Source organism: Homo sapiens, chromosome 8, assembly GCF_000001405.40.
Source record: "Homo sapiens chromosome 8, GRCh38.p14 Primary Assembly".
Taxonomy (NCBI): domain Eukaryota; kingdom Metazoa; phylum Chordata; class Mammalia; order Primates; family Hominidae; genus Homo; species Homo sapiens.
In genome coordinates, this window is record NC_000008.11 from 24,332,448 (window position 1) to 24,349,366 (window position 16,919).

A 16,919-nucleotide genomic window follows, 5' to 3' on the forward strand; every position below is an offset into this window, starting at 1 on the left:
AGAAAAATGACGTAAGTGGAATTCAGATAAACAACAAACCATCAGTTGCTCCAAAATTTCAGGTTTTCTAATTTTTTTTATATTTTTTGAAAAAGTCCTATTTAGACTCCACGAAAGTAACATATGCCTGATGAATATAGTATGTTACAAATTGTGCTGAACTGGGACCAAAAAGTAATGTTGCATTTACATTTGTTTCTCATATTTCTTAGGAATGTACCAATATTTGCTGTGATGCTAAGACATGTAAAATCAAAGCAACTTTTCAATGTGCATTAGGAGAATGTTGTGAAAAATGCCAAGTAAGATTATTTTATTCTATTTTAATAATTATGATTACATTTTTATACATTAACATCTCAGTGATTATGTTAACTGAAATAAGCAATGCAATATTTTTCTTTATATAAAATGATATATTTACTATTTATGAAGCACTTACTCAGTGTTCTACACACATGGCCTATTGAATCTTCCAGTGATCCTTCACAGTAGATATTATTTCATTTTGTTTTTGAGAAAAAAATGCAGAGTAGAAAATGAACAAAATAATATGGCCACTATTTGCTACAGCCTGGATACACCTGAGAACATTATGCCAACTGAAATAAGCCAGCATAGAAAGACAAACACTGCATACTGATCTCACTTGTATGTGGAATCCAAAAACGTTGAATACACGCAAACAGAGTAGAATGGTGTTTACCAAGGGCAAGGAGGCTCGGAAAATGGGGAGATGATGGTCAAAAGGGACAAGTTACAGTTATGTAGCATGAGTAAGGTTAAAGATCTAATGTACAACATGACTATAGGTACAGGTACAATGTGACCGTATTGTATGTTAATAATTTGCTAAGAGAGTAGATTTTAAGTGTTCTCACCACACACACACCCACACCAACACCTATGTAAGAGACCGATACATCAATTTGTTTGACTGTAGTAATCATTTCTTTCTAAAATTGTTTTATTTTTAATTTTTGTGGGCACATAGGTGTACATATGTAGTAAGCATTTCACTGTATATATGCATATTAAATCATGTGCACCTTAAATACAGGCAACAAAAAAATGTAAAAATAAACATGGCCACTGTTGAGTAGGATAACCCCAAGTGTGATCATCTCCAAAGCCAAAGCTGGTTACTCCTACCTGCTGCTGTTTCTCATGCTCCATGGCTTTCTCAGGTCGAATCTCACAAAACTGATTGTATCTCCCTTTAACAATGTGTGTGGTGGAAGAGGTTTTATTCTGAGTAGTGTGGGGGTATCCCCATCTTCAATCTTTGAAGCCACTTCAGGGTGAAATTCTTCTAAATATGCCATTTCATGTTCTCTGTGGTGCTTTTCTGAATTGTCCTTCAAGTTTAGTATTTAACTTTCTGTTGTTGCATATCGTTCTATATTGTGAGGGTTTGTTTCCATACTCAGATTGACTCCTAAGGCCAGAAGACAGATTCACTTTCACCTAGCACAGAATTTCATACATTTTAAATGATCTGTAACTGCAGCATGAATGTGCACATGGCATACCAGGTTTTATAGGGAATGTTTGGTGTTATTTTGTTTTTAATGTCAGAGAGAGAGGAAAGAAAGAAGTCCAAAAGGAAGTAAATTTGAGAACTTAAGCAGTACTCAAAGAGTGTTTAGTAAATGCTATTTGTTAGAGATTATGGTAGGTAAAAAAGTATCCAGTTTCTTACTATTTAGAGCAATGATATACATATATGAAACATATGAAAATATAATGTGTGATTCAATGGCCTTGTAGATAGCATAATGATATATTAAGCTTTTTACGTACAGTCTCACTTGATTTTCACAATGGCCTTGTAAAGTAGATGTTGGATGGGGACAGGGATTTTCAGAGAGATTAAATCCATTTTCTAAAGTTCAGCACTCAGACACATGCAAAGCCGAGATTCAAATTCCTGTCATCTAAATATGAATTCGAGGCTCTTCCCAAGCACATGAAGAAAGCAGGAGCAGCAATTTGCATTAAAGGTGTCAGAGGAGACTTGGTGGGAAAATGGGCTTTCAACTGGACTTGAAAAAAGATTTTAGACAGAAGAGATTTAGACATAAAAGAATTTCCAAATGAGGGCACAGAAACAGCAAAGACATAAGAGAAGATACAAGCATGGTTTGTCTGGTATGTGGTAAGGAATTCTCTGACTGGAGCTTTGGGTTGAATTTGTAGGATCTCACATGCTTGCATGGAAATTTGGATTTGATCCCGTCACTGGTATTAAGATATTTAAAGTTATTTGACGCATTGAAAACATACCTGCTCCTGTTAGGAAGGAAAACAAACAAACAAACATACTTTCTCAGTTTTGCAGGAATGGCAGAATTTGTTTCACTAAAGTTTCTCTGAGCAAATAAGAGTAAGATTTGCAGTAATTGATTACAACTGAGTTAGTATATCAAGTGAATATTTGCTTATTTCTCCCTCATGATAAGTCATTCTATGGAAGAAGTGAGTTGAAAGGAAATAGCTGAACCTACAATAAAAGGGATTAAGGATTAGGAAACTCGAGGCCTGGGAAAGTCCGAGTCTGCTGATCTGGTGCTTGTAAGCTTATCTCCTTGAATACCGAAGATCCAATTCACCAGTAAATCTCTGAAGTTGCAGATTTAAATCTCCTTGGAGTTCCTGACAGAGATGCATCCAACAAAAGGAGAAATAACTCCCTTCTTTTTATCTAAGTTGTTGCCTGTTTTTTTTTTTTCGTCCTGTACTTTTCTACATTATGTTTCTTTGGTGTTTTTGATACAAATTCAGAAATATTGCTTAAAAACTTAGGGCATTAACCAATATTAATAGAAGTGATATAACAGATCATGGCTTTAATTTATGACAATGTAAGCTTCAGTGAAATGACACCTCCAACTACTATGCCCAAAAAGTCCAAATGGAAAATATTTGTGTTAATTTGAGGTATTAGGGTAAAGCAGGTAGGGAGAATAAAAAGCCTTCTATTTTTGTTTTTCTACAGTTTAAAAAGGCTGGGATGGTGTGCAGACCAGCAAAAGATGAGTGCGACCTGCCTGAAATGTGTAATGGTAAATCTGGTAATTGTCCTGATGATAGATTCCAAGTCAATGGCTTCCCTTGCCATCACGGGAAGGGCCACTGCTTGATGGGGACATGCCCCACACTGCAGGAGCAGTGCACAGAGCTGTGGGGACCAGGTAGGAGGACAAATCCTTTCCCCTGTGCATGTGCGAAGGAAAATCATTTCAGATGACAGTGTTTAACCATGGTCAAAGGACCATTCTGTCCTATCCTTCTTAGAAGCTTTGAACTCAAAATCATGGAAAGGTTTTAAGATTTGAGGTTGGTTTTAGGGTTGCTAGATTTAGCAAGTAAAAATAAGGATGGCCCCGTTAAATTTTAACTTAAAATTAACAAGTTTTTTGTTAATTTTTTGTTTTTTGTCTCAGCATCAGTATATCCCATGCAATATTTGAGGTGTGCTCATACTAAAATTATTTGTGTATCTGAAATTCAAATTAAACTGGGTGTCTTTTTCTTTTCATCTGGCAACCCTACTAAGATCATAAACCCTTGGAAATCTGTGTGTGTGCGGGTGTGTGTGTGTGTGTGTGTGCAGGGGTGGCAGAAGTACTGTGGGATGGGACAGAAATAAGAAAAGATGGAAAAAAGAAAAGAACTCTGGAAATGCAGAAAGCCAATAAAGAAAAGTGAAAGTTCTTAAATGGTCGCTTTGTCCATAATGCCAAAATTTTAGAGACCATATTCTCTAATTTCACCAAGAAAACTTGAAAAATAAAAGTTTAAAGAGATATCCGAAAATTTAAACAGCAATTTGTATAGTATTAAATAACTTTGGCCAGGTGCGGTGGCTCACACCTGTAATCCCAGCACTTTGGGAGGCTGAGGCGGGCGGATCACGAGGTCAGGAGATCAAGACCATCCTGGCTAACACGGTGAAACCCCGTCTCTACTAAAAATACAAAAAATTAGCCGGGCGTGCTAGTGGGCGCCTGTCCCAGCTACTCGGGAGGCTGAGGCAGGAGAAGGGCCTGAACCCAGGAGGCGGAGCTTGCCGTCAGCAGAGATCGTGCCACTGCACTCCAGCCTGGGTGACAAAGCCAGACTCCGTCTCCAAAAAAAAAAAAAAAAAAAGAAAAAAAAAGAAAAATAACTTTATTAGAAAGTCAATTTTAGATCATAAGTGATCTAGCTTATATACCTAAAATCTAAAAAAGTTGAACGCATAGAAGCAGAAAGTACAATGCTGGTTTCCAGGGTGTGACAGGGAGGAGGTGGGGAGATGTTGGTCAGAGGATACAAAATTTAAGTTGAAAAAAAAAGGCAAGTTTTTAAAAACCAGTTATTTGGACTTTCTGGATATGATGTGTATGATGTACATGTATTTAATTGCCATACTCCCTTCCTAATAGTTTCAGACTCCTACTTAAATGACTGAAACAATATTTATTAAAATAGAGAAAATCTACATAGTCCTATTATTTGAAAGGGGTCATTGCGTGCCAGAAACTTTTCATAATTCCTGAAAACAGAGCTAAAACAAGATTGAGAAAATCAACAAAAATTCCTAACTTGCAATGCACTGTGAAAACAAGAAACCTGGGAAACAAATAGACAAGACCCTAGAAAAACCTCCCTGTAAACTTCTCTGTCTTTGGCTACAGCGGGTTGAGACACAATTTGAGGAGCAAAGCTCAATTCCCTTAGTATGTCAGCAAGCTCACTAGTATCCTGGAACCAGGCCTCAGCAATCTTGCCTCCACTTCGTGGATGCGCCAGGTTAAAGGTGGAAACAAAATTGATTGTTGGTTAAGAAGCTCATGTTTCCTTGGCTAACTTCAGTATACGGCAAAAACCAGGAGAAAGAAAATCTTTAGCACAGAGGTGAAGTTCTGAGCATCACCTTTATTATCTTGTAGTAAATATTAACTGCAAACAATATTAACTGTTACCCTCCTCCCTCCTTTGTCCGACTTTATGATTAGTCTCCTCGGCAAATCTGTAAACTTCCTGGAACAGGGACATTGTCTACATTGTTCACAGTTGTATTCCCAGTGCCTCCCAGCACAGTGTCTGGCTTTAGTAAAAAGCTCAAAATTGTCTATTGAATTAACATTGAACATATTTATCTGATCAGGAAATGGAGTAGACCTCTTAAGTCATACATTTAAATACAGCCATTATAAAAGGCCAGAGAAAACAATTTGCCTAAACAAAATTCCAAATTTTATAATTCACAGAGGATCACGTATTTATTTTAAATTAATCTGGGAAGTTTGAAAAGTCTTGCAACTTTGTAAGTAATTTAAAAATCATTCTTTTTGGCATCAAATCATTCCCACAAATCAATTCTAATTCCAAGTATTGAAAATGTGGCTAAGGCATAAGCAGGCAATTTGTCATAAAGAAGAAATACAAATGTCCTGTAAAATTAAAATCATTTTAACTCATTAGCAATATACAAAACCTGAATGAAAACAAGTTAATCTTCTACATTTGCTAATTGGCAAAAGTTTGCTACAGATGTTAATGTTCAGTGTCACAGAAAACATAACCAAACAACTCCCTTCGTACACTGCTGGTAAATACACAAGTTAGCATCATCTTTACGGACAGAAAAATGCATACACAAAATCTAAAAATAATTGTTTTTTACTCCTTCTCCTAGCAATTGTACTCAAATAATTATGAGGATTTTTCAACCAGCATTTTTTAATGATAGTGGATAACTGAAAAACATCTCAAAATCCAAAATATATGGATTAGTTAAATAAAGTGCATTAATTCAATACAATTTTTGCAGCTGTGATGCTTTAGAAAATTTAATGCCTGGGGAAAGGACAGCTATATTGTTAATTGGCAAGAAGTTATAAAACAGCATGATGCCAGATATATGAATGATACCTTCTGCAATATCAGCAGCAATAACTCTGAAGTCTCAGATTAGGAATATCATGCTTCTCCCTGATTATTCATGACTAATGATTCTTTTCTTCCATGTAGATTAGGAATATCATGCTTTTCCCTGATTATTCATGACTAATGATTCTTTTCTTCCATGTAGATATTGTATTATAATAAAACATGAATACATTTTACTAAGATACAAATAATAAAAAGTAACAAAACTCATTTTATCTTACACATTGAAACATGAAATTCGTTTAAAAGTATTTCTTAAAAACAATGCCGTATCTTCATAGGTGTTTATTTTAACTTAGCTTGCTGTTTGTCAAAGGCTAGACTCAAAATTTCCAAACGTTTAAGACAGAATTACTTGTTCTTGAAGAGAGGGTACCTCAGCACAGAGAAGGAACATAGGTCTTTCTCTGTGACTTGATAGGATTCTGTTTCCTTATTAATAAATTGAGAATGGCAATAAGAATGGCTAGTATTTGTCAACCATGTACTGCTGACCAGGCACTGTTCTCAGTGGCTCACCTATATTAAGTAATTTAATCTTCAAAACAGCTCTTTGAGGTAGGTACTGTCATATATAATGTGTATATATATACTTTTATATATGTGTAAATATTAAATATATATGTTCACATAAATATAAATTATATATCCTTATTTTACAGATGAGAAAACTGAGGGGTTAAGACACTTGCCCATGTTCACACAGTTACTCAGTCTTGCTTGAAGCCTGGGCTCTTAACAATGTGTTTTGTCTGATGGAGATCTGAGGAAGATTACCTGAGACATGAAATATGTGATGCCTATTTTTGTACCTAGCACATAGTAGGAGTTTGTTACAGAGTAACAGATTATTTAAAAGATTATTTGTAATTCCAGCCAGCTCATTTGATACCAAATTACTACAGCCTATGTTTCTAGGAGTGGTCAATGGAATTATGCTAAAATAGTATTTTTCTTGCTTGTTTTATATTTTATAAATCGCTTTCCAGCACTGAATCTTTAAAATCTTTTATTTTCAAGTATCTCTTGAATCTCAAAAATCTATTTTCTTTTCCCTGCTGACTGATCCTGGTCCCAGGAACTGAGGTTGCAGATAAGTCATGTTACAACAGGAATGAAGGTGGGTCAAAGTACGGGTACTGTCGCAGAGTGGATGACACACTCATTCCCTGCAAAGCAAAGTAAGTGGCCTTGTCTGAACCTTCCTGCTTCACAGACTAGAGCAATGGTACACTTCCAGCTACACATTCTGATTTATTCCAGTTAAAGGGAAAGTGCATTTGGTCATCAATCATTTGACAAACATTTATTGAGTAACTACTATGTGCCATGATGTGGGCTAGGTACCGAGTCTAAAACAACAAATAAGAAATGGCTTCTTTCTTCAAGTATCTCATGGTGGGTGCTTCAGATGACACAAAGCACAGTCATTGTTGGGTAGAATGAATGGTTGTGATGGAACATGCCACAAAGAATGGGTCTGGTTAGAAATTTGTCCAGGGATTTCCCAGTATAAATCAGATGCTTTCTCAATCTCATGTTTTTCCTTGTAAGATTCAGAGTAGAAATATTTATCTACCCAGAGGAATAACAGATGCAGTGCTTGAACAGTTTTTTAAACTTTCAGTAGAATTACATAAAGAAAAAATACAATATGAAAATATTGACAATTCATCTGAAGAGTTTGTTAGTTTTAGTACTGATATCCGGGAAAACACTATAGAACAGCACACCAGAAGAACTTGGGATTTTTCTATGGTTTAATTCTGCAATTTTGAGATGAGTTTTAAAATCCAATTATAGATTAAACTCTTTGTACCTGCTCTAAATTTTACACATACCAAATAATATATAACAAGAGGTTGCACAAGATCAACATTTCCCAAAGTTTGTCTATTGGACACGAATTTCTCTGAATGACAGGTATTACCAAACTATACTTTGGATATAGGGTTATCTCTTGGGAGAATCTGTGCCTAAAGAACAATCATTTTCGGTGGTCTTGTGGTCTCTTCTTTATAGGAAACCAGGGCAGATTCAAAAGAGGAAATTATGTAAAAGGCAGTATGTGAGGGCCAGAGGAAGGGCAATTGTAGGTGGTGAATGGGAAGAGAGTGGGTCTCGCCATCTTTCCTTTGCAGTCTGTGCACACAACAGTGTCCCATATAACTCTTTGCATGAGCATTAGTTTCTGTGCTCTAGTGGCTCAAGCAGCTCCTTCACCCCACAAACTACCCTCCTAGTCACTTCTCAGTAGTCATTGGCTATAGTGAAGAGTTAGCCTGAAATTCCCTGTGCCCTAAACCATCCTTTATCGCTTTACCTAAGTGATTCAAGAAAAACACACTCTCATATTTTGAGAGAATATATGCCTTTCTCCACTCCTCAAACATATTTTCTACAGCCAAGAGAGATCAAAAAATCTGATGCCATCACTTTCTGGATACTTTTTTCACAGCCCTCTTCCGAATTCTACATAAAGCAATTGACTTCCATTTTATTGTCTTTTAGTCCTGTTGGCAGTAAATGAATGGCTTGAGTGAGTGTTGAGCAGTTTAATCTGCACCTTCAGGGAGACAGTTCTTTTAGTAACTCCACCTGATGCCTTGCAGTGTCAAGGGAGGCTCAGCTTTGTTCTGACAGCATTATAGTGGAGACTTGGGCTTTCTTTTGGTGGAATTATTCTGCAGCCAGTTGTACAAATAAATGAGTAACCTATCTGAAACAAGCTAGAAATTGATGTCTCAGATGCCTCCATGATGTTAGGAATCCATGTTTTATCCTCTAGCTCCATCATCCACATGACTTTCATTTCCATGTGTTTCTCTAGGCCTATGATAGCTTCTCTAGCTATCATACTCCAATCAGCAAAAAATGAGAAAATGTTGAGAAATAGAAGATAATTCCTCATTTAAGGCCACCTTCTAGAATTTGTGCTTAAGATTCTGTTTTCTTCTCATGGGCCAGCACTTCGGCAACTGGCAAAAATTAGGTGTACAGGGATCTAGGTAATACTGTTTATTTGAGCAATAATATATTGTGCTAACGTTCAGGCATCCTATTACTGAGAAATAAGGGAAAATGAGTGTAAAGTACAACTAAGAGTCTCGGCTACAGGGAAAAATACCATCAGTTAAATATCCATAGTCCTAGAGCATTTATGTAAAACTGCAATTTGAATCCTGCAATACATTTTGGCTTTTTCCTCAGTGATACCATGTGTGGGAAGTTGTTCTGTCAAGGTGGGTCGGATAATTTGCCCTGGAAAGGACGGATAGTGACTTTCCTGACATGTAAAACATTTGATCCTGAAGACACAAGTCAAGAAATAGGCATGGTGGCCAATGGAACTAAGTGTGGCGATAACAAGGTAAGTTGAAATTGTGGCTTTCACTCAAAATAGTGTTTTTTACTTTGGTGTGCTTTGTTGTTTTGCCCCTCGGTTATTCACTATGTGCCTTGTTTCCCGATTTTGGGGTTCGCCATGCCTTAATAGAACCCACAGAGTTTGAATTTGGAACACAGAAATGAAAATGGCGCAGAACCTAGTAAATAGCAGGAATAAGCACTGACATTAACATTCTCAAACACTGTGGTGAAATTTGGAAATAATTGACTCTCATAGTCATTATTTCAAGAAGAGTATCATATCGTCATGCAGATAACACACAGTAGCATCCGTTTAACTTTCATAGACGAAGTCTGAAAACTCACTGAAAGTGCCAGTGTATGTGATACTGGGCTTCATTTAACAGATCTGTATATCATTAATAATATAATGAACTTAAATACGAGTACTGTTTAGCCAGGGCCAATCAATTCACGAACTTTGACCATGAGGTTTGTCTCTCTTAAGAGATTAGAATTACCCTCTTTATATATTCACTAAGATATCCACATGACCAAAGAGTTCCCCTGATTTTTCACTGTGGTAAAGCCAATCCTCAGAATATTATCCTATTTACTTAAACTGATTTGGCTATTTAAATATTAATTTATCCAATGATGAGTCCAAAATTATCTAAGTGGTTCAGTGTGGGTATTGCTTATACGTGGTCTCTGAACCCCTGGAGCTGAAAATAAAAATTTAGCAATGTTTATAAATCTGCTGATTTGACATTAAAATATTAGGTCTTGCCTATAAGAAGTACCCACAGTATTTAAACTTATTCTTTTCCCCCATTTTTCCTGAAACATATGCTAGCATCAAGGGCAAGGAATTTTATATAAAATATAATATTTAACTGCGTTTTCCAGGTTTTACTAATTTCCTTGTATTTTCTAGTGCTGAAGCCTTTAAAGACATTGAGACATTATCACATGACCTGGCATGGATGTTGCAGTGCTTGGGCCTTAAGGGAGGGAAGTACTGGGACTAGGGCAGAATTGAGATGTTTCTGGGTCCCCTGGCATTAAGATCATCTCATTATTGCTTATCCCTTAACTTCTTGCATAGTCATTGCTTCTGGGATATACAGTTGTTTGGATTTTTAAAAATACATAAATTCTTAGATAGACTTTATCAACCTTTTTGGGTTGGTTTAACTAAGAGGATAATGTAAGCAACAGAGCCCGTCTCTGTTTCCCTTCTTCTACATCAGCCTCCTGGCAGAGCCACCTTAAACAACATCTGCTAGCCTCTTCACACAGACCTCAACTTTCTCATCTACGTTCAGAGAAGATGAAGCTTCATGTTTTCTACATCACTTTCAGGTTTGCATTAATGCAGAATGTGTGGATATTGAGAAAGCCTACAAATCAACCAATTGCTCATCTAAGTGCAAAGGACATGCTGTAAGTTCTGAAAATATGTTTCCCTAAGCTCTCTGAATCTTATGACATTCTAGGTCAGTCATAAGAAAGCTAAAGGAATATTTTCAGCTTTAAATGATGATAATTACTAAGTTTATCCAAGCCTTCAGTAGCATGGTTCAAGGAGAAATTTCTTCTGGGAATCATTCATGAAATGCCTCTCATTCACTCATACTTTTTGTAGATAGATGGAAGCCTGGAGACTGGGGTTATTCCTTTTTCTGCATGAACTTTATTATGGATGAGTAGGGCCTTGAGTTTCTGGTCAGCCTAGCGGGGACAGTAACAGGATCATTGCTCCCCTAGGTGTGTGACCATGAGCTCCAGTGTCAATGTGAGGAAGGATGGATCCCTCCCGACTGCGATGACTCCTCAGTGGTCTTCCGTAGGTAACATTACACATCTAACCTGAGAAAATTGCTCTCCTCTTCCAAGCCTTTATTTTGTATTATATGAGATTTCACTGCTTCTTTTCTCTGTTCTTGAAATTTCTGTTCTGTTGATGTTGAATCCACAATATTTATCCCCCAAATCTCCTTAATACCTTTTAATTATATTTTCCGTGTCTTCATTTTCACTGCACATGCAAAAAAATTTCCTCAACCTTTATATTTGTAATCTTATTTTAATTTCACAAATTTTCTTACTTTAGGACTCTTCCATTTTCATAGCAGCCTCAAGTTAATGGAAAAATGTAATATCCTCAAAACTCTCTAAGAATATGACCTATTATTTTGTATGTTCAGTTCTATTCTTTGAATTATCTGTTTCTTTTGAGTTGGTTTGTTCTGTTGTCACCACGTCACTTGTATTCTGTTGTACTAGTTTTCTTCAGGATATGTGATCCTTAGTTCAATGTGGAATTGGTAGAGCTGGATTAGTTCACACGGGATGTCTCTGCATTTGTGTGTGCTGTTGTACCTACTGATATTTCTCTTGATGGGGGAATCTGGCTGGGAGCTCTATGGGCAGGTAGGCAGGTCTGCCTATAGGTCTTCAGGGTGGGAAGGAGCCAGAGTGGGGACCCACCTCCAGTTGTTACGAGGAACATTTTACCCTGAGGAGGGAGCTCATCACCACATTTTCTCCTGAGAGAGCTGCTTTTTCTCATCATCATCTCATTGACGCTCCCCTCTCTGTCTGATATAGTGTAGGTATCTAGAGGAAGCCTCTGTCCTCCTGTTCATGTTCCTGCATCCTCTGTTTGCAGAAACGGAGAAATTCTTAGGATTTTGATCTCAGGTGATGAGCCAATCTTGTTCTATATACACAGGAGATGAAGTAGACCTCAGTGAGATATCTGCCCCAAATTCAGATTGTTAGACTTTTCAAGAGAGAACATTTATTTCTGATGTTTAGTCTATATTTATTGTTTCCATCCACATAAATCCCTTAACTTCCTATCTTTCTGAAGATTTTTAAAATTATTTTTTCTAGTGCCCTATGATTTTATTATATACACATGTATTTGTCATGTATTTTGAAAGGGGCATGAACATAATCAACTGTTTTAATTAGAAAACTCTTTAATGGTTTCAATGCTCACTAAAAATCCTTTTAAACTATGACTTTCTTGACTGCTTTATTTTGACATATCTATTGATTTGCTAAGTCACCTCTATGACTAATTTCTTCCTGGTGTAACAATGCATCCACATAAAACTTTCTAAGTTGTACTTATGAGAATGTATTTCTGTTGCCAAATATTTTTAATATTTCAATTAATATTCTATATCATAGCATGCATAGCAGGTTTGATTGAATTTGATTTTTTAAATCATAATTTTGCATTCATAACTCTGTTAAAGTAGATGTTTATATTTAATGTCAAAAAAAAAAAAAACAAGGCCAGACTGATTTCTGTTGATGTTAAATAACATCCCTTTTAAAAGTCATTAGGTTTGTTTTGCTTAAATGCTTTTAGAATTAATTACTTAATTACTAATTAATCAAAATGAATCACTATTTTATTCCTGGGTGATGTTCTGTTTCCATTAAGATGTTACCTAGTGAGTTTCTTTAAACTGAGGATTTGCTTTTTTCTTCCATTGAAGAAATGTTTCTGTTGTTCTAGGTTTTAAAATTTATTTTCTTTCAGTTTTCTGGTTTCTGATTTAGAAATGTAAATTATTTATGCAAAATATCTCCACTGTGTGATCTCCATATTATATTCCATATTGGGTCATTTTTCTTGTTAATTCTGGGGAAGTTTTTCAAGATTATTCTCTGTATCATAATATACATTTTTTAGCAATGTTAATTCTCTTATTACTTATAATGACATTTAAAATTATTCAGTGGCATTTTTATGTGTCTTTGAAATATTTTTTTATCCCAGTTGGTTGTTTTCTCCTGTTTCACATCTGTCTAGCTTTTTTACAGTCTATATTTTAATTGCATTGAGAGTACCCTAAATTTGATTCTTTATACTCCTTTTCTGAGAGTATACATTTTATGTATACTTCTACTTCTATGTGTTATTTTATACCTAATCTTTTGATTCAACCGATGCTTTTTCTTTAGTTATCATCCAATAAGGTTGAATTAATTCTGATAAGCACTGTTAAAAGTATTTCTCAAAATTTTTAACTTGGAGGACTAGCGATACAACTTTACGGTATATTACATGAAATTTGTATTTTAGCAGGATAAGGAGGTAGCTGGAGAAGTTCAAAATACATACAGTGGAAGCTTTTCTCAACTTATTCTGTTTGTTGAAACCACTACATCAGAATTCAACTTTATCCCCCAAGCCTTGTTTTTTTTAGGGCATTGTGTTAGTGGGTTCAGTGCCCTTTCAGTGCTATTTCTTATCTAACCATCAAGGAAAGCCTCAGACAGACTGAGGAACATTTCCTAGTTCAGAAGTGTCCTTGCACCAAGAGGACAGACCCTAGAGGATGACAATTTTTACTATAGCTATGGTCCTAAATCTAAACTTGAATGGGAAAAAATTACATTTTTATTTTCATTAAATTCTAAAGTTAGTTTAGAATTTTCTACAATTATGGGAATGTATGGCTTATAAACCATAATAGTATTAGCAATATTCCATGACTTTGTCACCAATAGAAATTACAAAGACTTTAATATCTCATTGCAGTTGTTGAATGTATCTCCAAATACCCCATGAGTATCATTTGTTTGAAATTTTGGTAATTACTGACCTACTGTTAGAACTGATTATTTCAGAGGTTAATAAACACATATTTTACTATATCATAAATTGTTTTATAATATTTTCACAACTGTATCCCAACATCAATAGCTTCCTTTAAATCTTATGCCTTTTATGAATGAATTTAGAAACACTCAGAAAAGGGGTTTATAGGCTTTATCAGATTGCCAAAATGATTTGCAGCATGACAAAGTTTAAGAGCACTGCCCTACGACATGGCCATACACAGCCATTGGCTTTCAAGATTATTGTTAACACCATCTTTTTGTGTGTAACATAATAGAGCAGACATGTAAATATAAAGGCAAACCTGATGATTACAAAATGAACGCTCATGTAATATAATAAGGGCCAAGAAATAGACCCAGACATCTGCTTTCCTGCCTCTTTTCAGTCTGATCTCCCCTCTTTCTCTAAGGGTTGACCATTAATCTTTCTTTTGTCATAATCATTTTGTTAGTTTTCTTTGTAGTTTTGCTTCCTAAATACACATCCTTAAACAGCAGCTTTTGGTTATATAATTCCATGTGTATAAAGTTTTTAAACACAGGAAACACAGCTTCCCTCACTATCAACACTGTCACCAGAGACATACATTTGTTACATCCATGAACATACCCGGACACATCATTATCACCAAGAGTCTTTAAAGTTTGTATGTATGAAATTTTTCTATGCTCATTTTCTTCTTTTTCTCTACCTTATGCTTTCAAGATCATCCATTCTAGTGATTGGATTAAGGTCCACTAGTTCTCTTTCAAGTTTCTAAGAATTCTGTCAAATACTTCCTTATTTATTAAAATGTTTTCCCCTTTACTCTATTAGTACTGTCAAATAAGTCAATTGGTTTGTGAACATTTATCTAACTTTGCAACCTTTGAATAAACCTAAGTTAGAAATAATATCTTTTTTATATAGTGAAGGATGTTTACTCTTATTTTATACTCTTGGGTGATATTGGACTGTGATTTTTTCATATTGAAAAAATTGCTGAATTTTGGTATCAAGGTTATGCTAGTCGCATAAAGTGTATTGGAGAGTATTCATTTATATTCTCCGGAAGAATTTGTATTTTTTGGCTATTTTATATTCATGGGTGATATTGGACTGTGATTTTTTCATATACGTGTTCTGTAGTATTCTCCAGATATTTTGTTTATCAAGTTTATTAATTGTCTGATATATAAATTAAGCCTAACATTGTTTATTTGTTCTACCAATTACTGTGCTGGGAGTGTTAAAATACCCCCCACTGTAATTGTGAATTTGATTACTACTTCTGGCTCTATCAATACTTTTATACTTTGAGAGCGTATTATTATATACATACAAGTTTAGAGTGTTGCTTCTTCCAAATTAATGAACAGTGTATCATGATGAAATGGTGCTGTGTCTATCTAGTACACTTCTTACCTTTGAGAATATACACTTCCTGGAGACCATATAGCTGTAACGTATTTGTTTTGGTCTGTATTTGCCCTGAAATAACATTTTTCCATATTTTCATTTTTATCCTTTCTGAATCACGTTTTAAGTCTTTTTTTCTTTTATTAAAGAAAGCATGCACATATAGTTTTTAGTAGTACTCACATCTTTGGTTTTTGTTTGTTTCTTTAACTGAGGAACTTAGTCCGTTTAAATTAAATGTAATTACTGATGTACTTGGGTATAAATCCACAATTATATAGTTTCTATTTGTCTTTCCTGTTTATGTTCCCTTTTCTCTCCTTTCTTACTTTCTTATAGACTTATTGATTTTATTATTTTATTAACTTGGATGTTATGCATTTCTTTTATATTTTAATGATTACCCTAAAACTTCCCAATTCATTTGCTTTTTTAAAAAAATAAACTTAACTTACTTTCTTTTGTAGAGCAGTTTTGGGTTCACAGCGAAATTGAAGAGAAAGAACAGACAGTTGACATATACCCAGCAACTCCCACTCCTGAACAGCTTCCCTCACCATCAACATCCCCCATTCTCGTGGAGTATTCGTTGATGGTAACAAATACTCCATAAACCTACATTAACACATCATTATCACCCCAAGCCCACAGTTTACATTAGGGTTTGCTGTTGGTTCATTTGCCTTTCATTTCTTTCTGCATTTCTGAACTTTTATCTAGGATTATTTTCTGTCTCTCCAGGTCCTTGCCCACTCACTAATCTCTACAAAGTAATTTTATCTAACATTTAAGTACTTTTATACTTTTAGGATGCTTTTGTTTGCTTGTTTGCAAAAAATTTAAAGATTAAAAGATTATTTTTAATGGGCAGGTTGATCTCAATTTCCTAGTCCACCATTACCAGAAACAAGAAGAGGCTGCACTTACTCTTCAGTGATTTCTATCTTCACCTGCAAACCTTCCGTTGTTATACTTCCATCTGTCCTGTGCCCCAATTTTAGCTCCAGACCATGTCTTTTCAAGTTTGGTGTGTTTGTGAAGTACTGCCAAATTCCCATTTATTTCTCTGATAATATGTCATTCTTCTGAAAATAGTTACAGTTCTGATATTAGTGCAAGTAAGTGTATGTTTTTCATTCTGAATGTATCTACACTATAACAGAATGCTTCACTGTTTTATTTTCCTTTGACTTTTTGGATTGGAATCTTATGGAGGGTGGCGAGTAGCGAATATTTGAACTAAAGTCATTGTCTTACCTAGAATTCTGCTTCTGATGTGTCTACCTCTATCTGCATGTGTGTGTGTGCTCACACTTGTGAACTTTTCTTGCATTTATACAAATATTAATCATGCTATTGGTTTGCTGATTTCTGTAATAAGAGAACGGTAACTTTTGGCATTGCTTTTCAATCTTTTCCTTCCTGGTCTCTTGTGGTTTCAGATTATTGTAAGAGAAATGAACAGTTAAGAGCAAAAGAGTGAAGTTATATTCATTATTTAAATTTGTCAGTACAAGAAAAAACACCATGGAGGCCCAGGAATATTTGTTCAAACCATTTCCTCATTCTCAAGGTCACATAA

General features: G+C 35.3%; 1 protein-coding gene and 1 long non-coding RNA gene across 21 annotated transcripts in view; one reads left to right on the plus strand and one right to left on the minus strand.

Moving 5' to 3' along the window:
• ADAM28 (ADAM metallopeptidase domain 28) overlaps positions 1 to 16,919 on the plus strand; it is a 64,946-nt gene that overhangs the window by 38,379 nt on the left and 9,648 nt on the right. For 9 of the 20 annotated variants that reach the window (NM_014265.6, NM_001304351.2, XM_017012975.3 and 6 more), the window contains 6 exons: positions 213 to 302; positions 2,999 to 3,194; positions 7,019 to 7,121; positions 9,151 to 9,310; positions 10,654 to 10,734; positions 11,059 to 11,137. In NM_014265.6, coding sequence (NP_055080.2) covers positions 213 to 302; positions 2,999 to 3,194; positions 7,019 to 7,121; positions 9,151 to 9,310; positions 10,654 to 10,734; positions 11,059 to 11,137 — 709 coding nt within the window. The other 11 variants (NR_130710.2, XM_005273380.5, XM_017012974.3 and 8 more) reach the window with 5 other exon arrangements.
• Positions 1 to 16,919, minus strand: part of ADAM7-AS1 (ADAM7, ADAMDEC1 and ADAM28 antisense RNA 1) — a 252,805-nt gene that overhangs the window by 36,634 nt on the left and 199,252 nt on the right. The window lies entirely within an intron of this gene.